The sequence below is a fragment of the Homo sapiens genome, chromosome 6, assembly GCF_000001405.40.
Source record: "Homo sapiens chromosome 6, GRCh38.p14 Primary Assembly".
Taxonomy (NCBI): Eukaryota; Metazoa; Chordata; class Mammalia; order Primates; family Hominidae; genus Homo; species Homo sapiens.
Window position 1 is genome coordinate 133,300,620 of NC_000006.12, and position 24,673 is coordinate 133,325,292.

Below are 24,673 nucleotides of genomic sequence, written 5' to 3' on the forward strand. Positions count from 1 at the left end.
CTCCCCTGCCTCAGCCTCCCGAGTTGGTGGGACTACAGGCGTGTGCTACCATGCCTGGCTAATTTTTCGTATTTTAGTAGAGACAGGGTTTCACCATTTTGGGCAGGCAAAATGTATTATAACTTTGTTTCTTGTAGGCATGTTGCATTCTTATACTGGCTGTAATTATTTTCAGAAGTGCTTTAATTGATGATAGTGTCAGAATGGAGGAATATTATGAGACTCTTCTCATGAAGTGTCTTTTATAACTTTTAATGAGCGCAATAGTTAGATGGTTACCACAGCTGGTCTGCTTCCCTACTGTATTCTATGTGTCCAGTTATTTTCCCAGTCCTTATGAAATTAAAAGCAAAGTTTTTGCAAAGTACTAAGAAACATCTTGCTAAAGGCCAACTCTAGCCAGGCCTTGACTTTTCGTATCATGTGTTTCATATTTTACACACTTTGACTGTAATGAGACTGGCATATCCATGTGAGTCACGCTGATGAACAGGATGTGTGTTTGTATTTACGTTCTGTATGAGGGTTTTTTGGAATATGTGAATTATTATAATCATAAGAGTATATTAAACCATCTTGATAAGAAATTTTAAACATGTAAACTATTCATTCAAAAAAACATTTACAGAGAATTTCCTTAAGGAAAACCTGATGAATGGATGTTTATCTTTTAAACATTATATGATTGTATTAATAACACATGATGAAAATTCTATCCACTGTTATCTTTGGCTGGTGAGTTTTTCCTTTGTGTACATTCTGAATTTCCAGGTTTTTCCCTTGATGCACCAGTATGACTTTTATGATTATCAAGATTTTAGTGGATTCCCGGATGCCTTTTATTTGGTGAAGAAAACAATGTTCTAATACAAAGTGAATGAAAATAGCTGCACATATGATATTAATAGCCAGCATTTATCAAGGAATTACTGCACATTAAGCATGTGTTAAGTATTCTACATGTGTTACTTAATTTAATATTCACACAATTGTATAAAGAAGATGCTATTTTTATTTCTATTTTATAGGGAAATTGGAACTTGGTGCTGTTTAATAACATGTACAATATGAGAGCTAGTAAGTATCGGAACTGGGATTTGGACCTACCTTCAGAACTCAAGCTCTTATCTACTGTGTCACACTTGATTTATTCTGATGGTTTTCATTGATGCTTTCATTTATGTGACATGTTTTTGCCAGTTTGCATTTTGAAGGAGGAAGCGCTGGGCTTCAGGAGCAGAAGGATGAATGTGACATAGCCCATGCTCTGAAGGAGCTTGCAGTCTACTTGATTAGACGGTCATGGAGCTGTGGGCACATCTGCCTGGGACGAAGAGAGAGGAAGTATCAGGTTGACTTCTTGGAGAGTGATATTTAGGCTTAGCTGGTATAGAAAGGGAGAAGGGTATTCCAGATATTCGGGGAAGTGAGGACAGAATTTGCAAAGCAGCAGTTTTTGCAAATGACTCAGAAACCAGATTTTGAAAAGCCTTGGATGCCTAGTGAAGGAGTTCTGGGTTACGCAGTGTGAACACTGGGGAACCATTAAAAGAATGTAAGCAATAATAGGGTGGGATTTCCTTATCTGTTTTATTTTTTGCTCTTTTTTTTTAAATAAATAAATAAACCAAAGATTTCTCTAGCAATGGTGTAGAAGTTCTGTTTTAGAGTGGAGAGTTTCCAGTTAGGAAGATCATATTGAAGGCTGTCTGTCAGGAGTCCAAGATCAAAGTCCTTAGGGGATAGGAAGAGATGAAAAGGTTTAAGTGCCTGGGATTTCAATCTAATACTAAAGTTGTACAAAAATTCATAACACTTTTGGCAGTATATTCATTAATAATCGTTTCTCAATTGAATGTGTTTGGAACTTATTCAGCCAGAAGCTTTGATACTCTAGAAACAAAATTGTTTATAGCAAACAATCCGTTATACTTGTGTTTTTAGCCTAGCTCTTAGCTTCTGCAATGAAGTTGAGACTTTTAAGAAAATATATACACAGTACACACAAACACACACATGCTTACACAACAACTTACTATTTATCAGCTTACACTAAGTCTCAAATTGGTATAAGTTTTAAAAGTTAAGATCTTAAATCTTCATGAACAGATGATAGTGTTATTATAATGTGACAATAATAAATTTATTTTTATTAAATGAAAATCTTTTTGAAAAGTTCGTAGAATTTTAAATGTTTGCTGTAGTCAAGAAATATTATATTAGCAATATCAACCACAGATAAAAGTTTTATATTATTTGCCTAATCCAGGGGTTTGCAGATTTTTTTCTTTAACAAGACAGAAAGTAAATATTTCAGGCTTCACGGGCCATGCAGTCTCAGTTGCAGCTGCTTAACTCTGCTATTGAAGGATGAAAACATCCACAGCCAATATGTTAATGAATGAATGTTACTGTGTTCTAATAAAACTTTATTTCCAAACGCAAATGACAGGATGGATTTGGTATATGGGCAGTTATTTGCTCTATAGTTTTGTTTGTTTACTTGTTCTTGATTCTTAATTTTATAATGATGCAGGCTTACACTGAACAATACTGTATTTGGTTCTAGTAGATGCTTCTTTTAACCATATTGGTATTCAGTGTATTGTCGGTGATGCTTTTCCCCTTAGTGACATACAGTAATTTTATATTTGGTAGGACTAGATACATTAATTTATTTGTTTTGGCCTTTATGTCTTCTTGTCATTTGGATTTCATGGTGACTTGACTGTGGTTTGTTCTTTGTAATTATTTCAGATATTCACTTAACTAGAGAGGTTGTTCTGTCTATCAGAAGGCTGATTGGAGGCATGTGCTGGAGCTAGACCAGTGTTTTGCAGCCAGTGGTATGAACCTGGAGAGACCAAAGTTTATAGCCTCTCTCTCCACTGCCTCCAAGATAGTGACTGTGACTGGGCTCCTTTCTTTCCTTCGTTTCTGCCTTCCTCTATTTCTGGGGTTAGTTGTAGATATTTTGAATACTGATACACAGTAAAATTTTAGTTTAGAAACACAAAATTTTGGGGGTTCATTTAATTGATGGAAAAGAGAATATTTCACTTTATCCTTTAATACTTGGTTTAGGAATAATATTTGTTCTCTGTAATAAAAATCACAAATGTGACAATATAACAGTTTCTCCTACTTTAAACTCACTTGATTCATGCCATCTTTCCTTATTGCCTCAGCCTGAAGTGGTATCTCATGTGCCATGGTTCCGTTAGTACTTTGTTCATATCACTCCTATGAAATTTCTGTGGCACTAAATTTAATATGAGATTATTAGCTCCTGGCTGGAGGTGAAGGTGGAGGTGGAGTGGTGGGTACAGGGGTCAGACAGGGAAGACTTGCCTCCTTTATCTTCAGCCGTTCCTGGAGTCTAATGCAGTGCTTCACATGCAGAAGGTTCAGATCAGTATGTGATGATGGAATGAATGGATAGATATTCCACTTGAAGGAACAAGGGTGATGAGTATGATATTATTGCTAGCAGTAATTTCCTTCATATACCTTAAACACATAAAACTTCCTAGTGGGTTTTTGTGGCCATCATTTAGCTCACCCTTAACTAAGCATCAATCCTGTCCTAAGTATTATTTTAGATTCTGGGGATACATACTCAATTACTTAATTATCTAGTGGGGAAGACAAACATTAACATATTATTTTAATAAAATGTGGCAGGTGCAACTCTGGGAGCTGTGCCGGATTCTCTGGAGTCTAGAGGAGGGCACCCCACTCTGTTTCAGGAAGATGGACAGTCTTTTCTGTCTCTTGCATTCCCAGCCAAATCCTGAAATATGCATATAGGCAAGCTAGGGAAATAACAGGAAGAAGAGCAGAAGAAAATTTAGACTGAAGGGCTGGCTTTAACAGAGGTGGGTGAGACAATGAGGTACAGATAAGGATTCTCAAGCTGTGTTGTTGGAGGATAAGTCTGGAGAAATACACTGGGGTCAGCTTCTGGAGGGTTATGTGTATCATGGTAAGGAGACTTGAACTTTATCTTGAGAGGAAGTAGAGCATACAGTGGTCAAGTGGCCATTGTAGAGTTTTACCCTTGCCTCTACATTTTCTGAATGTCAGACACCTTCTCTGTTTTTCTCACATAAAATGGGGATACAAATGATCTATCTTTCAGGGTTTGTGTATTCATTCAACAGTGAATTTATGAATGCATACCATGTTCCAGGACTCTAGGCCTTGGGAATACAGCACTAAACGTGAGATAAATCCTTATTCCAAAGAGCTTATATTTCTGAGTGTGGTGGTGAGATAGATAAGAAATAATATCAGTGAAATATACAGTCTGTTAAATGGTGGGTGGAGGATAAAGAATCTGGGACTAGGTTAGGAGCGAGGAAGAGGGAAGGCTGCAATTTTAAATAACATTGTCTGGAAAGAATTATTTGAGATGACAATTGAATGAAGACCTGAGGACATGGAGGCCCAATTAATTGAGGGTATTTGAGAGAAGAGCGTTTTGGAGGGAAGAGCAAATGCAAAGACCCCAAATTTAATGCCTGACATGTTTGAGAAATGCAAAGAGTCATGAAAGTTGGGGCAGTGGGAGTTATAGTAAGAGATGGGGTCAGGCTAGTAGTGGGGGCCAGAGTTTGTAGGTCTTTATTGGTCATTATTAGGATTTGGAGTGAGATAAAGCCACTGGAGAGTTTTGGGCAAGTAATAACATAATATGTTTCATAAGGACACCTTGGCTGCTGTTTTGAGAATAGCCTAGCTAGGGCAAGGGCACGAGGAAGACCGGTTACAAGGCCAGTTTTTAGGAATGGAGTGGTGAGAAGTGGTGCTTGTAAGGAATTAAATAACTTGTAAATCACTTCATATTTACCGTGTGCCTGCCAAATGGTAAGGAATTAATAAATGTCAGCTAGCGTTTGACTGTTAAAGCTTCTATCTATGCTCAGCAAACAGGGTTTAATTCTTTTTTAATCTTTGAGTTTCACTTGTAAGAATAGGAACTTTGCTGGCTAAGATAATAATTGCTATCATTTAGCCAAGAGCATTCATGGTGAGTTAGCATTGTACAGCCTCCTTAGCATGTTTTCTCCTAATCTTCTCACTAACCCAAGGTGGTAGCTCTCCTTACACCAAGATCTATGCTACATGTGGTACCACTGGGGAAGTTGAAGGTATTCAGGACCACAGAATTGGTAACTGGAAACCAGGTCTGTCTTTTTCAACTATGTCCATTAGATTGCATCTGATATTCAAAATTTCAAGTAGATTCTATCAAAGAATAAAATATGTAAGGAAAGAAGCATATGAAGGACATGTCTGTTATATTTCTGCCATTATTGGTAACTCTTAAGTAATAATGATTATCTATGTGCTTAATAGATGTCATTGTGTGTGTGTATTTGTTCTTCTAAATGGTATGTTTGATATGATCACAGACGACATTGTGCCAAATGTAACCACTTTTCCTGGCGGTTTTAATGGTGTTGCAAGAGTCTGTGATGCTTCTGGTTCCTTTTCTGTCCGATGTAGACAATGCATTCATATTGCATGATGATTAGTACAAAGTACAAACAAGGAGACTAGAGAAAAGAGAGGCTAAATGACCAAAGATACTTACCGCGGTAAGTGGCAGAGTTCATTTGAGAATTCAACAGATTGGCTCCAGAGTCCGTGTTCTTGCTGAGTAGATCACCCCAAGGGAAAACTATAGGCATGTGGTATTAGAAGGGACCTTATAGACAGAGCTCTTCATTTTGCATGTGAAAAACTGGGGTTCTGATAGGTAGAATCTGTAGCCAGTAACTGGTAGAGCCAGTACTGTAATCTGTGCCTCTCACTTCCATTACCTGGCACAGCCTTAATTTGATCAGCTGTTTTTCCAGATGAAAAGTGTATTCTCCAAGGGAAGAAACAAATACTTTCTTTATTCTCTTAAAGTTTGTGAGTGGCTGAATGTTTTAATGTGACGATTTATTAAAAACTGAATCTTTAATTTGAAAATCAGATTTGTATCTTTCAGTTGTTTTATATTTAATTATATTGAAAAATCAGCAAATTTAGATTCTCTCATTTGTTTCATGTTCATTTATGATAGCTAACACTTTTAAGAACCTGATATTGTAGCCATATTTAAATAGTTATTTCTACAAATCAAATATAAGGAATAAAATATGTCTTATTTATAACTCACATAAATTTAAATCATAGAAGAATTGAACTTGACAGAGATCCTCAGTAAGAACTTTAAAAAAAATAAGTATCACATGTATTTAATCCATACTTCCCAGTCATTGCAACAAAGCAGGGTATGATTTATGTAGAAGGAAAACATTTTTTTGTTATTTTTGTAGTGGGGCATTTATTGCACACACAGTAAGTGTTATAACCAAAACAAATATACAATTGGGACACTGTGTTTAAATTATCTTCTGTCATGTACTATATAAACCCACAATAGTTTGAAATGTATTTAAGCCACCATCTGGGACAAAGCAAAAGCTGTTCCAGGATCCAGCACATGATGAATGTGAGGCGAGTTTCATTAGGAGCCTCCTAGCACGTTTCTGCATCCTGAATCGTTTCTTCCACGGTTTGAAAGAATTCCAACATCCGTCTTAGCTCCCTGAGGTTTTGAGTGTTTTTAATAGATCATGAAATTTTTTGTGGCCTCCTAAAGAACTAAATCAGTGAAGTTAAACATTATTGCATTTAGATTTCCTTTTAATCTGGAGAGATAAAATTCAAGTTTGTATCTTTTAAAAGCTTCAGCAGAAATGCCCCATCTGTTGGGAAAAATTCTTACTGGGTTTTGACAGTTTGAAAGGAATAATTTCTCTTTTAAAGATGACTCACCTTAATTGAGAACCTATTGCCATGATAACAGGTAGCTATTTAATCAAGTACCCATTAAGTGCTATGGGCTGGAGGCAGTTCAAGCCTTAATACTAATCTGGCATTCTAATCCAGATTTGACTGGCTGTAAAGTTTATGTGAGTGTTTTTCTTTCAGGAAACTGTTTGTTGCCTTATCCCTATATAATGACAATAGTACAAGTAGTGATAGTTACTGAGGCCTTACCATGTACAGGCATGGTTCTAAGCACTTTCTAAAAATTATCTCACTTATTCATAAGAACAGTCTTAAGAAGTAGATACATTTATAATTCCCATTTTACCCGTGAGGAAATTGAAGATTTGAAAGGCTGTAGAACCTGCTGGAGGTTACATGGCTAGTGATATGGTTTGATTGTGTCATGACCCAAATCTTATCTTGAATTGCAGCTCCCTCCCATAATCCCCGTGTGTTGTGGGAGGGACCTGATAGGAGGTGATTGAATCATGGGGGTGGGTTTTTCCTGTGCTGTTCTCATGATAGAGGATAAGTCTCATGAGATCTGATGGTTTTTATAAAGGGCAGTTCCCCTGCACACGTTCTCTTGCCTGCTGCCATGTAAGATGTGCCTTTGCTCCTCCTTTGCCTTCCACCATGATTGTGAGGCCTCCCCAGCCATGTGGAACTGTGAGTCAGTTAAACTTCTTTTTCTTTATAGATTCCCCAGTCTCAGGTGTTTCTTCATATTTCTTCATTAGTCCATGAAAATGGACTAATACAGCTAGTGAGTTCTAGCCTTCTAATTTAACTTTCATGGCAATGCAGGCATTATTCCTGTTTTTACAGATGATATAGCTAGGATCAGAGAGGTTAAATAACTCACCCAAATCACATATGTAATAAATAGAAAAAGGAGCTGAATCCATGACTTCTAATTCCAAATTCAGTAATTAAAAAAAACTTCAACTTTTATTTTAGATTTGGGGTACATGTGTAAGTTTGTGACATGGGTATATTGTTTGATGCTTAGGTTTGGGGTTTGATTGATCCACTCACTCAGGTAGTAGGCATAGTACTGTATAATTACTTTTTCAATCATTCTCTCTCCCTCCTTCCCCTTTCTAATGGCTCCCAGTGTCTGTTGTTACCATCTTTGTGTCCATGAGTACCCAGTGTGTAGCTCCCACTTGTAAGTGACAGTATTTGGTTTTACTACTTATGAGATGCGGTATTTGGTTTTCTGTTACTGTGTTAATTTGCTTAGGATTATGGCCTCCAGCCGCATCCATGTTGCTGCAAAGGACATGATTTTGTCTTTTTTATATCTGCATTGTATCTCATGGTATATGTGTACCACATTTTTTTATCCAAATTCAATAATTTTTAAAACTAAAACATGTTCCTTCATTTTCAGCAATTATATGTATTTTTATGCATAGAAACTTAAATACAACTATGTAAAATATTTTAAATATGTTTAATATATAACTTAAAAATTTTTCAGAGAGGTATTTTTTTGAATTTTTTTTATCTAAATTGAATCAGAGAGGAAGCAAGGTTGTGACTGTGGATATGACTTTTCATAACTACCAAACTTTCTGTAGGTGGACTAGAATATTCACTTTTTAAAACAAAATATAGCAAAAAATATAACAAACACAGAAAAGCACTTGAAATATTGTGTTTGAAGAGATTTGTGTATAATTTTGCTATGCTATTGTCCAATATGATACAGTTTCCTTTAGTAGTTACTTTAAATATATTTTTTATTATTAAAACAATATAATATTCTTTTATAGGTTATGAAAAAAATCCCTAAATGGTGAAATTAAAGATATTGAAGTTGAGGTTTAATGCAGAACTGCACTTGTTTTCAGGGAACAAATGTCAATATATTAAAGAGTTTAAGTAGTGTCTGATAATGGTTATATGGTGATCCAGAAGTACAGTAATGATTCTCTTAAAATATTCCATTTTAACTTATTAGGCAGTTATGGCTTCTTATATATGCTATAAGCAAATGTGGTGGAAACATATTTTGTTTTCATAAAAAATTTCTGTTTTAAAGCCTTCTAGACATTTTCAAACAAATCTTTGTTCTCTATTCTGATTAAGGCAGTACTATTCCAAAATATTTAGGAGTGGTTTTCATTAATTTGCTATTAATGTTACCATTCTGGCTTCTTTCCTCAATAGGAGACTAATAAAACCATGTGCCGCAGTAAGATAATGTACTAACATGCCAACATGCCTCCTTATTTGAAACCAGATCTCTTTTTCTGGTTTGAAAGTTGTGGATCTTAAAGTTCTCTGGCACAAGGAAGGCAAGTGAGGTTAGCTATGGAGAGAAGATTGCACAATTAAACCCCATTGTAATGTACGGTCTGTCTGGCCTAGAGCTTCATCTTATTCTTGTGATTATGAAACAGTATTCTGTCCTGACGAAGAAGGTAGTGGGGAAAAGTTTCTGGGATTTGTAGGAGAGTAGAAAAGAAAGATATTTGGGAAGGATATTTTTAAAAAAGAAGGGTATCTCTATGATTTGCTGACAATTAACAAGTCTTAAACAGACAATCTTCTCTTAATATGAGGTTTTATGTGATGTTGTGAGGGAGCCTGGTATTCACACCAGTGGCCTCAGTTATCACACAGCAGCGAAAGTGAGGAGGTCAATTTTACTTATTTGGCAATTTAACGTGAAAGCACTGGGTTGTGTTTTGATAATTCCTGCCATATAGGATGGTCAATAATTTCTACTTGCAAAAGGAAAGGAAGCCTTTTTCTTAGCAAAATATTGGTTGGTGAACAGGAGGAGATCTTAGTGCCTTGTTATTTCGCATCTGTGTATTTGTCATCTTATTCTGACTTGAAAACTACTTCACTATCTATATGATTATTTTGGATTCTGAGTAGTTACTCATTTATCTCCCACCAATATGTTATTGCAACATGTGTCATCTGTTACCCTCCCCACATCAGCTAATCATTTGACATATAATTTTAATATAATATGCTAGGATACAGATTTAGTTTGAAGTTTAATATTTTTCTTCTAGCTTTGGTGAGTGAATTATTAATTGCCATTGTAAAGAAAAATGTATCATATAACTGACATGAGAAATGATCGTCAAATATTTGGTAATAGTTTTTTGAGGACTTACGAACTTGAATATGGCACTAAGATTTGGTTAACAGTATTTCCATTGATTTCAAGACTTCAGTGACTAAAAGATATTTGGAGGAGTCTTGGGGAAAACTAAATTGTGAAAAACGCTGAAAAGAAATTTGTAGCATTGCAGACTGTAGCAGAGTTATATGATTTAGATGCCTTGTGTTTAGCCAAATCAAAAATCCAAAAATGGATTTCTGAATACTAAAGTATTAGGATAATTTAACAACATGCCTACCGTTAATTTCCTAGGAAACAACTTCGTGTGTTATGTTTTGAACTTTCCTTTGTATTAGATTTCTAGAAGGACTTATATTATTCTTGTTTAGTTTCCATTTTTTAGAATGTTTCTTTTGATGATCCTGTAACTCTCATAAGAGCTCAGACTTTTCCCCTATACCTATATTTGAAGTTGTCTTTTGTCTCTCTAGTATTTCAAGCCTAAACCTAGGTTTCACTATTTTCTTCTTGCTTATTCCCCACATACATTCTCTTAGTATTACCATTACCCAGGCTTGTCCATTTTATCCCTCAGTCTGTTCCAAGCCTGTTCACACCTTTCCTGTTCTACTGCCTTCACATCTGCTACTGCCGGCTTGTGATAATCCCTCTCTGGACCATGGTAGTTGCTTCTGGCAGTGTCCCTTCCTTCCCCTCTTTCCTGTGGCATCTCTTCTTTATACAATGGAAGTAGTAATTTTTAAAATTTAATTTAATTTTTATTTGTTTATTTATTTATTTTTAGACAGGGTCTCATGCTGTTGCCCAGGCTGGATTGCAGTGATGCGATCACGGCTCACTGCAGCCTCTACCTCCCAGACCCAAGCAATCCTCCCACCTCAGCCTCCCAAGTAGCTGTGACTACGGGTGTATGCCAGCATGCCTGGCTAATTTTTTGTGGAGATGGGAGTCTCCCAGTGTTGCCCAGGCTGGTCTCAAAAACCTGGGCTCAAGCACTCCTCTTGGTTCAGCCTCCCAAAATGCTGAGATTACAGGTCTGAGCCACTGCACCCGGCTTAAATTTTAGATTAGATAACATCTACCTCACCTCCAAAGCCCTTCAGTAGCTAGCTCCCTGTTGGACTCTAAAAATCCCAACTCCTTAGTGTGGCCTGCAAAGCCTGCATGGTCTGCTTCTCCTGGATTGTAAGCTCCACGAGGACATTCATTATCATTCAGGAATGTTCATTAAAACACTTGTGTCCAACACCGGCACTGTGCTGAGTACTGGGACATAGTAATAAATTAATAAATAAGAATGAGAGAAGAAAAAGAAATGGAAAACAGGAACACCTGTGGACTCTAGTCATGGAACTTCATCTACTGGTAGAATAGATATTATCCACGTAATTGCAGAAAGATCTGTTAAAAGTACAACACTGATAAATGCTGTGAAGAATAGGTTCATGATTTTATGAAAGCAGGTAACAGTGAAGTCTTACTGAGATAGTCATGACTGAGGTGATGAGTGGGAGTACAGGAGGTTGGGGTGTTTGTGTGAGTGGGGAGAGGAGAGAATATGCAGGGAGGGGGTTTTCTAGAGGAAAAATCTGCATGTTCAAAGCCTGTAGGGGCAGGAGCAGACTGTGGCTAGAAGGCAGGAGCATTGGCGGTTACCTGCTGTTAAGGATTTCTAATAAGCTGAATGTGGGGAGGGGTGAGGAAAAGGGAGGAATTAGTAGGCTTTTGGTTAAGCACTTGGGTGGATCTTGGCAAACATTAACATTTGGAGAGGTTCAAGTCTTGGTGGTACTTGTGTGTGTGTGAGAGAGAGGCGCGTGCACACACACACACACACACACACACACAGAGATAAAGCAAGAGAATATGAGATCTACCTTAGGCAAATCACTTAACCTTTTGAATTGCAGATTCCTATCTCATTTGAAAAACACACCTAAAAATGCCTAACTCATTATGGTGAACGTCAAATGGAATTGTAAAAATACGTTATAAACTGTGAGTTGGTATTGGTATACATGTAGATGATTGTAGTTAACTATTTCTCAGATATTTCCTTGTATTCCTCAATATTGGTTTGCAGCCATTCAAGCTGGACTATCATTTTGATATTCTTCCTCACCATATAGCTTTGCTCAAGACTCCACCCTCAACAACAAAGTAAATGTTTTAACTGGAGCTCTAACTCTTTAATAGCTTCTTTGCTTCCATCCTCTTTTTCTGCTTCTAAGAAATTTAACTTCTCTTCTTAGTTTTTTTCTTACCACCCTTCTCATTTTTTTTTTCCATTCCTTCCATCTTGGGCTATATTTCACTTTCAGAATAGGACTTTCTTCCATTTCCCTGTAGCACTGAGCCTAAGACTATGCCCTTTTATGTTTCCTTTGCCTTTCCTTGTTGGGGAGAGGGGTTTAGGATTAAGTGTAGGTGTATCCACATCTCCTAAGATCTTTTAAGATTATATTTTATTTTCATTTTCTTCTTAGTAAGCAGGTTCTCTTATTTAAAACCTCTCCCCAAACTCATGTCGATAACATTTTATTACTTTTTTAAAGATAGAAGTTACATATTGGACTTATAAGGTATGGGAGTGCCAGGGTGTGGGAGAGCTTGCTTTGTTAACTTTTTGGTTTACAATGAAGGAGATGCTCCCTTTTATTTTGGATAGAAGGACATTGTTCCTCCTCCTGTGGAGTAGGAAAGTTTGCTCCAAGCCAAGCATGCCTCCTTCCTGAGGACTGAGGAATAGCTATCTGCCTGTGTCTATTCTTCACATTGCCTGGAGAAAGTTAGAATAGAGGTGGAGATTGAGTATCTAGCCACATGAAGTGATTCTTACTGTCATTCATATTTAACATTTATTGCCTTTATTTTGGGGAAAAATCATTTAGATGGAAGACTCCTCTCTTTTTAATTTTATCTCCCATTCCAGCTGATCTACAGTATATTTTCTAGGAGAAAATAGATTTAGATACTAATTAGGATAATTTAATGAAATATAAAATCTGTGCGAGGTTAGTTGTTGCTATTCCAATAGGAAAATGAAACTGGATTCAGTTATCTTATTGCTAAAATATGCTAACCAAGATTCAGCTATTCAGATAACTTTAGAGCTGTAAAATATATTTTATAACTCTGTTTTCATTCTTTCATTAATAAATACCTGCAGTAATTCCCTGGCTTATTTTCCTTACACAGTTGTTAGAGTAGGACTTTGTTTTCTGTCAGTTTCATTCATTTCATTATTGTATTTAAGCTGACTATAGAGAAATCATGTTAGCAAATGTATATGAATTATTTCTCCCTTTCCATGAGGATCTTTCTGATGTCTTATTTTTTTTCTGAGAGAGGCTGTGCATTGACTTTGGTTAGAAATGGTCTGTCTTTTCAAAATAACTTCTATGTAATTAAAAATGGCTGAACTCTAATATGAAGCTGTTATCTTGAAAGCTATTTCTATATTTAAAAAATCTTATTTTAAGTTGTAGAAAGCTTGTATGTTTTATGTTAGTATCTGAGTAAAGCTATCAATGGAGGTACATATGTGGTTAAAGTGATGAAAATATAACTATGGTTAAATCATTCATCTGTTGCAAATTACTTATGACTTCTGATACAGATTAAATGAAATGCTAGGAAAAAAATATAGATGAGAAAAATATAAGTAGCACCGTATGTGCCAATGTGTGACTGTATGCTTGTATATGTTATACACAAAAGTTGTTAACTTCTGCAAAACTTTGACCATTTTCAGTTTACATTGTTAATTTTCATTTATTTGATTTAGAAAGACCATTTAAATATGTTCTTAAACCTAGTGACAAAATGTGTGGAAAAATAATGAGAAACATCTCACAGTTAAATATTTTTGTTTTTAGATTAGTCATGAATGTCTTCTTTCCTGTAGTGTGAATGGCAGAAAGTTAACTATTCATGGTGTAATTTGTGTGAAAACATCTATACTTGCATATTTATTTTTATTATTCTATTTTATAGAAAGCATTAATTCTCCAACATGGTAATAAAACATGTTTTTCCTTCAGGTACACTGGTGTAACTTCCCTTCTGCATGAAAATATTTCAGTTTATCAAATCATACTTTTCAACTAAAATTTGGTTAACATAGAAATGTTACAACCATAAAAATAAAGCGCTAGTATTAAAAAAGGTTAATTTTGATTTTGATTTTTACTGTCTTTATTATCTTTAACTGTTAAAACATGTTTAGCTCCTAAAATATTTAATAGGGTAATTTAAATTACTGCATAGCACCCTCCTTTTAGTAGCTGGTGGTAGGAACTCCAAACCAATGGAAATTTCTAGCTGAAATTGGAATCCATGAAGAACCAAACTCAGGAGCCACCTTGTTTTCCTTCCTCATCTAATATGGATGTTTAATTTGGGGTGGTGACTGACTTTTCAATACAACTTTAAGAGAACATTCTATATAAACTGTTGCGTCTCCCCAGCTACCCTCAGAGAAAACCACATGTCTAAGCTGAGGGGAAATTCACCCGCATGGAACGGAGCCAGTCTCTTGGAGAAGAACATGGTTGATGGAACCCCTGAACAATAAAGATCTGTGATTACTGAAGCGGCTCAGAATTTCATTTTTGAGGCCACTAAATCACTCTTGGCCTGCACAGCTGTGTAGTCAGGGGAGGCTGCAGATATTATTCAGGGCAGCAACCACAGAGTCTGTTTTTTATAGAATATTTTCCCAGTGCTTTTGGAAACTCATCAAGTGTTAAAACTCAGTATTTTCTGGGAAAGTTGAAGATTTTTCTCTCCTTTTATGGCAATTTCAACCTCAAGGTGAAATATTTCTTTAATTATGTGTAAACTTTATTTTTTAAATGAGAAAATTACATTAAAATTACAATTTTGTGGGACATTATTAAGCAAGAGGGGAAAAATCTACCGTTATGTGAGGTTGGGTTGTCAGATATTTTTAAATTCAGAAAATTTGCTGAGAATTCTCCTTCCAAAATGGTAAAAGAAAATGAGTGCAAGAAACGCGCCACTGATAGAAAAGTGGGAAGATACTGAAGCAATGTTGGGAACAGAAATGATCAGGGTGACTGAAGCAGAGTCATAGAGCCTTGAAATAGAAGTAAAAATGTAAACCACGGAGACAAACAGGAAGCTTGTGGAAGTGAATGATGGTGAGAAATGTGTTCTACAGTAAGATCATGAGGTATATGGATTCTTATTTTACATTCATTTTAAAAGCATTTTTCCAACTGCTAAGATTTATATTATTGGAAAGATGTTTTGCATCTTCTAATAGAAATTCATTTTGGAATAGAGTGGCAGCCACAGTGTGGGAACTTCAGAAAAGGGGGTGATGTAAAATCAACAGGAACAGAGTGTTTTTTGAAGTGTCAGCAGCAAGGTCTGGCTAATGGGAGCAGGCTGTGACACTAGGCAGCATGTACTCCAGAAAGCACTTCTGCTTTCCCGTAGGGCATCCCGCAGACCCTGGCTGGGCTCAGCACCACCTTCTCATTGATGTCCCTGTGTAGGTGGGTATACGATACGTATGCTGGTCAAGAGGCTGTCCCTAATTCTCACTTCAGTAAGCTGAAAACTCCCTAATTCTCTTAAAAGCCTGAAAACTTTACGTTTTTCTCAGCAAATAGTTGATATTAGTGAAGGCCTATTTAGAGATTTCTTTGATATTATAAAGTGTGCTGATGATCATAGAAAAAAAAATAAGCTGCATTTATTTGTTCCCTAAATTCTTAAATACAATCCTCCCACCGTGCATAATTACAGTCCCCAAGGTAAAAATCTGACAGTTGTACTTACATAATAGTTACATAATCAGCTACTTAAATAGGTTTTAGCTATTAGCTAAAATAAATAAATCCTAGAGCAGATTTTTCTGGGTAGTGAAGTTGTCTTTTTGTAGCTGTTGAGTACTGGAGTTCTTTTTAGATAACCTGATAGTTTAGAAAATTAATACTGAAGCAATTAATTGAAATTGACTTCAACCTACCAATTCCACGACTGTCGTTTTCTTCTTTAGTTACTTTCCATTAATTGACTACGCTACCCCTCTTTGGCCCTGCTGTACTTGTACATGGCTATTTATTCATACTGTGTTTTGCCTCTCATTCATGCCACACCAACAGATGCATAAAGTGTCCATCTCTCTATTTTCCTCTGAAAACACGATTTTGATGCATCTGGCATGGCCTTCTTTTTCCTTGTGCATATTAGTTGAAGGTACGTGTGAGCTGGAGCTAGGGCTCTCACCACTTCCTAACTGCCTTGTGTTGGCCGAGAGGTGCTCTGGAGCCTTCCCTGGGTCCTAGTGGCTTACTAGGACCTAGTAGTTTCTTCCTTTGGCCTGCATAGAAGCCTAGCTTAGCATAGAAGCCTTCCTTCGGCCTGCATAGAAGCAAAGCTTTACTCATTTTGGACCATTGAGGCCTCATGTGAATTCTTTGTCCATTTTGGATCAAAAAAGGAAATGACAAAGAGAGACAGAAATAGAGGTTAGAGAGACAAGAGTCTACACCAGATGGTGTTCTCACCTTCAAACAGCTGCTCAAAACTGTACAGCTCCATATGTTCTCTTGGCTTATCAAAAAGTCAGAAGGCTCTGAGACATTAAGAAAGAGATACTTGTGGGCAGCTCATTTCAATAGCTCGTAGCACAAACCTGTAATTACCACAGGACAGGTGTGTGCAGATCTTCATGATGCTTTGAAGAATCTCAAGTTCATTTGAGAACATTGTCATAATGACCCATATAAATAAACAGCCAAAGATTAATTTAGCTGCCAGGTAAGCAGTGACCAAATTGAGTTTTCAGTAACAAACCCAGTCATCATTTCTCCTGGGTAAGCACTGGAACCAACATACTTATGATTTTATTATGAATTATTTGTGTATGTAATTAATAATAATGTATTTCTGCTCTCTTTGCTTTTATATAGGAACTACTCAACTTTAACACAATTCTAAGTTAATATTTATTCTTGTTATATCATTATTTGGAAAATGTGCTTAGATTAATAAGTGTAAAAATAATCATAAAATAATACATCTCAATGTTCTGGAGTAAAATTGTTATTAAGTGTATGAAATAAAAAACAAGTTATGTCTTCTCTTCATCGTGTCCTTTCTATTCCCAAGGTAATAATCACCTAATAGTTGGGTATCTGAATTTCTATATGATCATTCTCAATCTCACTCTCAATCATCTCCCCTTTTGTCCATCCATCCAGCCCCCCGTTCATCTATCCATCCCTAGATTCACCAGTTCCCCCATCCTCCCATGCCCGCATCCAGGCATCCACAGATTCACCCATCCCTCCATCCCCCGGTGCCCCATCCACCCACCCATCCACCCATTCCCTCATCCATCCATCCATCCTCCTTCCGTTGATCCATCTACCCACCCATCCATCCACCCTCTTATACAAGTGCAGCCTTTATCTCATAATGAAACTTGCTTTTTAAATGTAGTTTTGAAGATAAATAATACATATTTGTAGAAGTCACCTGTAATTGTTTATTGACCTACAATTCATGGAAATGATGTCCTAGTGCTTTATTTCTTAGCATGTAGTTATTTAGTTGGGACTTTTTATTTTTGCTGAAGCATGGCAATTTGTGAGCAATTTAAGTCTCTGCCTTGTGGTAGGGGTTGGACCCTTCTATGGGTGTGACTCTTCTTTTTTATTGACTTCGCTGATGATAGAACTTAGGGGAAAATTATGAGAGGAATTACCACAAGTGTAGAATCGGAATTTTAAATCTGAAAAGGCTTGGAGATTGTTCAGAATTTGATGTAAACATTTTTCTGGCAGTGAATGAACTGTTAAAACTGTGATTTGCCGGTGGAGGTAAACAAAAACCAAAGACTTTTTCTTTGCTTGTCCTAATTTCAGATCCTAGTTCGCTTGGTGCCTGTGTCTTCATCTTCGTATCTATTCTGTCTTCCCATCTGATAAAACTTGAGGTTGGTTTATTCTGTTTCCAGATGCTCTTTTTATTCTGCTACCCAGAACCCTCTTGGTTGAAAAAGTAATTTTAAGCCATTCTTTTTTTTTTTTTTAATCATCCAGAGTCTCCTGAGCTAATTTAGTTCCTTCGGCAGCTTTGACTGCCCTTTTAAACATCCAGCATACCTGAGTGGGTTCTGTGCCTCTATAGATGTTGCTGACACATATCACTCGTATTTATTTTTGCCTGGTACTCTCATTTGTATGTAAGTGTGTTCCTAATGTTGAGTTTCCTTGCAAGTCCTGAACTGTGTTTTCTACTTTCTTCTTCCACTTCCTTTGTACTATTCATGGTTTTTACGCACGCACTATATTAATGCGATGATCTGAGCATAAAGTACGATTTTTCTAAAGCTCATATGAATCTGTGGAGTTGTGTCCAAGCAGTGAATCTGGTTATAGGAGGCCACATTTACAGCATTTCTGCTTAACAGCCTGTCCAGCAGGCAGCTCCGTGCTGTCTAGTAAGTCCTCATTCTGATTTGTATGGTGTAGATCCATCTGTGCAGAATAAAATTTCATCCCTTCTTTCCCTCTCCCACCTCTTCTATCAGATTTTAGACCTCATAAAACCTCTCTTCACTGCTATAAGAGAAGAGGGAAGAATTCAACCCCAGGGCTTTGCTCCAAGCTTTGAGGATATTCACATGGTGATAGCTTTTAAAAGATAGAGAATTTCAGAACAAGGCATAAGCCGGAAGTTGTGACTCTGCATGCAGAATTAGCAGTTAGAATTTAGAGGTACATAAGTATCTGTAATTGCCAGGAAACTAGATGAGTAAAAATCTTCCCTATGGATTGCGCCTTTTTTTCTTACTTCATAGCTCTGTCAGTTTTTACTTTGTGTATTTTGAGGTCATGCCACTTATGCATACAAGTTCATAATTATTACATCTTGGTGGACTTCTCTTTGCTTATTGGATAGTGTCCCTTTTTTTTTTTACCAGTCTTAATGATTATTTTTAATTAAACTTTTTTATATCAACATTGCTGTATCAGCTTTCTTTTGGCTAGTATTACTTTGATATTCTTTCTAACCCCATGTTCTCGCTTAAAAAAATTGTTTTGCGTGATTTTGTTTTAAGGGTGTCTCTTCTATGCAGAATATGTTTTACTTCTGATTTTTTTCTTTTCTTTTCTTCTTTTTTTTTTTTGAGATATTGCTTCACTCTGTCACTCAGGCTGGAGCACAGTGGTACAATCAGAGCTCACTGCAGCCTCAATTTCCCAGCTCAAGCGATCCTCCCATCTCAGCCCCCCAGAGTAGCTGGGACTATCGGTGTGTGCCACCATGCCTAGCTAATTTTTTTGTATTTTTAGTAGAGACAGAGTTTTGTAGCCCAGCTGGTCTTGAACTCCTGGGCTCAAGCAATCCACCCACCTCAGCCTTCCAAAGTGTTAGGATTACAGGTGTGAGCCACCATGCCCAGCCTACTTCATAATTTTAAAAATAGCTCTGATAATTTCTGTATTTGAATAGGGAGTTTGTTATTTACATTTATTGTATTTGTGTGTTTGTATGTATTCATATTCTATTGAGTTTTCGATGACCATTCCTTTTTTTTTTTTTTGCTCCTTTTTTTCCCAACTTCTTGCTTTCTATTGGATTGTTAGGGATTTCTGTTTTTCACTTTATTTCTCTCTGCTTATTTGAAAGCTATACAGCATGGTTTTCTTTCTTTAGGGATCACTCTTCCACTTTACTTTTTAAAGATGGATAAATTTTATACATTTAAAAAATTTAATCTGTATTTATATCTTCTTCCTGAGTGGACCTTAGCATGTTATAAATGCTCACTGAATAATTCTCATTGTTAATTAGAGTTTGGTTTTATTTTTTTAAATGCAATGTACTTACTTATTTTAGAGTAAACAGTTAATTAAATCTATATTTTACTTGTTTTTTTTTCTCTTTTATCCTGTTGCATTCTCATGGATTCATTTTTCTTTTTTTGTTATTATAAATTCAGGGGGTACATGTGAAGGTTTATTATATAGACATATTGTGTAATGATGAGGTCTGGGCTTCCAGCATACCCATCACCCAAACAGTGAACATTGAACCTAATAGGCAATTTTTCAATCTTTACCCTCCTTTAACCCTCCCCTCTTTTTGGATTTCCCATGTCTATTAATTTCATCTTTATGTTCATGTGTACCCATTGTTTAGGTCCCACGTAAAAGTAAAAACATGCCGTATTTGATTTTCGGGGTTATTTCACTTAGGATAATGACCTCCAGCTCCATCTGTGTTGCTGCAGGAGACATGATTTCACTCTCTTTTATGGCCTCCTAGTATCCTGAACTCATTTTTCTACATACTGAGGTGTATCCTCAAGTAATTGATTCAACAATGGTCTAAGGGTGGGTGGCTTTCTTTTAATTTTAGTTTTGAATAATACTTTAGCTGGACATAACAGTCTAGATTACAAATTGTTTTCTTCTCGGCACTTCAAAGATGTTATCCTATTGTCTTCCGCCTAGGACACAATAAACAAAAATATTTTTGAATGAATGACACGTTGTTGCTAATAAGAATCTGCTGTCAGTCTGTCGGTTGGTCCTTTGTTAGTAATCTGTTTTGTCTCCCTAGTAGCTTTTGCTACTTACTTAACTTTGTTTATAGTCTATTATGTTGTATCTAGGTATTGATTCAGCTTTATTTGTCCTGAATCCTATGTAGGACAAATAAATTCTTGATGTCAAGAATTCTAACTTTATTAAAATTCTCAACTTTTATATCTCCAAATAGGGTTGCCTTGTCTTTATGTGCAGTCCCCTTTTCTGCAATTTTTATTAGATAGATGATGGAGCCTCTCAGTTGTTCTGTGCTGTCTGCTCATTTCAGCAGCTTTAAATTTCCTTTCTCATGTTTTAAATTTATAATGCTTTTATCTCATGTTCTTTTTACATTTCTGCCAGTTGTTGTTTGCAGAAGTTTTACTTTTGAGGGAGGAAGACAAGGAACTTTCCCCCTTACTACCTATTTGAAAATCCTAAACAAACTTCCATAAAAATAATTTCATGTGGAGAAAAATTCATGTTTAAATTGGTCGATCTTGTTCACTGTATTTCTTGGGATTAGAATGTATTTCTGTGTGTTTTGGAATTTTGGTGTGCTGGCTTGTATTTGAGTTGGAAGATTCCAGCAAAAGTCTTTTCTTTCCCCCACAGCATCTTTTCACATTAGATGAAATTGAGTATGAGATGGGAAAATGAGCACCACACGAGTTCAGTTTCATGGAGTCATCCTAGGTGTGTCCTCTCTACTGTTTGAGCTCCCTTAGGCTCATGGTCTCAGGAGCCAGATTCTTGCCTGCTCTGGACGTAGAGGCCCGAGGGCCCATGGTCTCTCCTCTCTTACCACTTTCCCATTTCCTGCCTAAAGATGTTTGCCATATTTAAAAGATATCAGTTACAGCCCTATGACTTTGTATATTTTCAGATTGTGTTTATCATTGCTATGGATTTTGAGCCAGAGGGCTTATGTCAGTGATCAAATGTGTCATCTTGTTTGGAAGCAATTTGACTGGAAGTTGAGGCTAGACTTGGGGAATAACTGCTGAGAAAAAATTTAAAAGGGTAAGCATTGATTATTGATCAAGTGACTATATCATTTAATATTCACACCCAGATACCTTTGAGAGTGACAGAAGACATTATTAGTAGTGATATAGGATTATAAGTGTAAGCCAGAGCTATTATAGGAATGTAGAATTGTGTAGTCGTTGTGCTATAAAAGGACTATCCTCTTTAAATTTTTAGAAAGGAATATTTATGATTCAATATCACAGTTATTTTTATTGATGTCTGTATGCTACCTAGAGTTACAAGACAGCTTTTTCTATAAGAAACACATGATTATTGTATAAATATAAAGGCCAAGAGTCTTTGAAAACATGGAGTATGGAGCTGAGAAAGAAATGTGTGTATGAGTAAATCTGAAACTGATGTTAGTCATGAAGTTTTTCAGCAATATGTACCATTCCCTCTTTAAAATATTTATAGTATTACATCTCATAGTAGCTGGGCCTAATTTTCCAAAAAACAGCCAGAGGAAGAATGTCAGCAGTAGGAGTTAATTTTGAGGTAAAGTTGATGGGCACATTGTATCATAAGACTATGTCTTAACTACTATAACCTACTATAATTCCTAATAAATCTTGTAAATAAGCATATATGAGAAATTTATAGTGTTTATGTCTTGCAAATACAGAATGAACCAATATATAGAATTTGAATTACCTCTAGTAAAAGTAAAGGTTCATGTTATGCAAACACATTTCAGACTTTCTATGAGTTGCAAAACTTACATGTGTACCACACCTGCCTACATGTTTTGTCACTGGTGAGATGTGACAAAATGATCTCTACTTACCCTATCTTTGAAAGCCCATGATTTTAGTGATTGTTTCTAAATATAAATATTATCAGCTTCTCAAGACAAAATTCATTTTATTCTCTATATCTATGTCTATATCAGTATAAAATCCGTGTGTGTGTGTGTGTGTGTGTTTGTGTGTGTGTGTGAGGATCAAAAACTCATGATGAATAACAGGCTTTAAATTTTTTTATTCGTTAGCATATTTCCCCAAGCCAACATAATTCTTGTTTTTCTCTTTTTAGAATAAGCTCTTGCCATCATGTTGGTCAGATAGAAGAAGAGCCATCTCATCTTTTGTTTGTTAGAGGGTTTCAATTATTTAATAAGAGCAAGTAATTAAGACATTAAGAATTAAAGTGGCTCCAAGAAGAGCTCTGAGACTCAGAACTGCAGAGTGTTGCCTAGGTTTCTAAGTTTGGATTTCAACAGAAGTGTGAAAAGTTTCTGCTGCTGCTTCCTTCAAAAATTTTTAATAAGATGTAGTATTTTGACATATTAATCTGAATTGAGACTGAAAAATTGCGTAAACTTTGGTTAATCAGATCGATTGTCAAATCCAGCTATATTGCTGTTTCATTTTCTACTAAAATTTGAATTATTCATATCACCAAATAGCTCAGCAAAAATGTTTAGTTTTTGCATATATGTAATAAAAATAGTTGATAATGAGGTTCTAGGGGAAGCAAGGATTTTGGGTGTGTGTACATATGTGTGAGAGAATGAGAGAAGGAATAGGAATGTATCAGGATAGAATGCTTCTAAAACCTCATTTTCCAGTAACAGGTTTGATATACTACTGTGGTCAAAAATAATAAAGAAACTATAATAGCTATTTCTGTATTGTTATAAATGCTGAAGAGTCCTGCTCTCAGATTACAAGATACGCCTCAAGGAAGAAGTAGTACAAACACAAGGTTCTTAATATAGGTCCATAAGAAGTGGCATGATGTAATATCTGGATATCTGGGTGGTCACTCTTATTTCTCACACAATAAGAATGAACTTTTTGGGATTAAAACTCACTCTCCATTAAATTTTTAGAATTTCCATCTCCATGTGAAGAAGTTTGAGTATTATTGATTTCTTCTTCTTTGGAAAATCAGCCCTTCAGCTTTTCAAAGACAACTTGAAAATTGGACACCAATTCATATATAATGCATATATATTCTCCACTGCTGTCCAAACAGTCATTTTGTAGCTTCATAGTAGAAAATATAGTTAAAATTCTTAAATGAGGGAAAGCACATGAATTATTATATAGTGCATCTCTTTATATGACCAAAAATTATGCTGTATTCTAGCAATCTGGTTATATTTTTGAATAGTATCCATAATTACAATATTTATTTACAATTCCATTTAAGCTCCTGTAATTTTGACGGAAATGGAAGAAATTTAGAATCTTGGAAGATCTTAAACTTCTGGTTTTGTTGGTTGTTTGTTTTCTGGGGTTACTTTTGGCCAGGAGGCAGAGAGAAGTGTTATATAGTACTTGATTCAGCAACATTCTATTTTCAAGTATTTATTATTTTAAAAGTTTTTTTATGTATTATGTACAATATATAACTGCAATTCCTATTTTGGTTTTATGAATTATTTTTTCTATTTTTATAAAGTAAATCTATAAAGTTATTCTATTATGTGTCTGAAATATTGAGAAAGAGGATCCTTGTAAAAGTGGAAAGATAGGAGACCAATACCAGGTTGTTTCTCTGATCCAGGCTGGTTCTCAGCATAGCTCAGGACCCTCAGTAAATGCCTGTTGAGTGGAAGGTTGCATGAACTTCATCGAGTATGGATTCTTAAAAATAATAATAAATTAAAAGAAAGCTTTTCATTGGGAAATTGGTATTTCAAAAAATCAGATTAATAAATCCAGTCTTTTCTTTCAAGTTTTGTTAGTTTTTCTTGAAAATTTATGGAGTATATTTCAGAAGCTATTTTTTTTTTTTTTTTTTTTTTTTGAGACAGAGTCTCGCCCTGTCCCCCAGACTGGAGTGCAGTGGCACAATCTCGGTTCACTGCAAGCTCCACCTCCTGGGTTCACACCATTTTCCTGTCTCAGCTTCCTGAGTAGCTGGGACTACAGTCGCCCACCACCACGCCTGGCTAATTTTGTGTATTTTTAGTAAAGACGGGGTTTCACCGTGTTAGCCAGGATGGTCTCAATCTCCTGACCTTGTGATCCGCCCGCTTTTACTTGAGCCACTGTGCCCAGCCTCAAAAACTATTTTGATAGAGGTGGTGTAATCTTCTAAAGCCAGCTGGCACATTTATAGGATGCCAGGCTAGCCCATCAGATGAAGTGTCCATTGTGGCAGCCACAGA

At 36.0% G+C, this 24,673-nt stretch overlaps 1 protein-coding gene and 1 long non-coding RNA gene across 31 annotated transcripts in view; both read left to right on the forward strand.

The window, feature by feature from the left end:
* EYA4 (EYA transcriptional coactivator and phosphatase 4) overlaps positions 1–24,673 on the forward strand; it is a 291,536-nt gene that overhangs the window by 60,027 nt on the left and 206,836 nt on the right. The window lies entirely within an intron of this gene.
* LOC124901403 (uncharacterized) lies at positions 35–23,177 on the forward strand. Its single transcript, XR_007059773.1, has 2 exons — positions 35–21,543; positions 22,588–23,177. It is a non-coding gene; the product is annotated as an uncharacterized LOC124901403 (long non-coding RNA).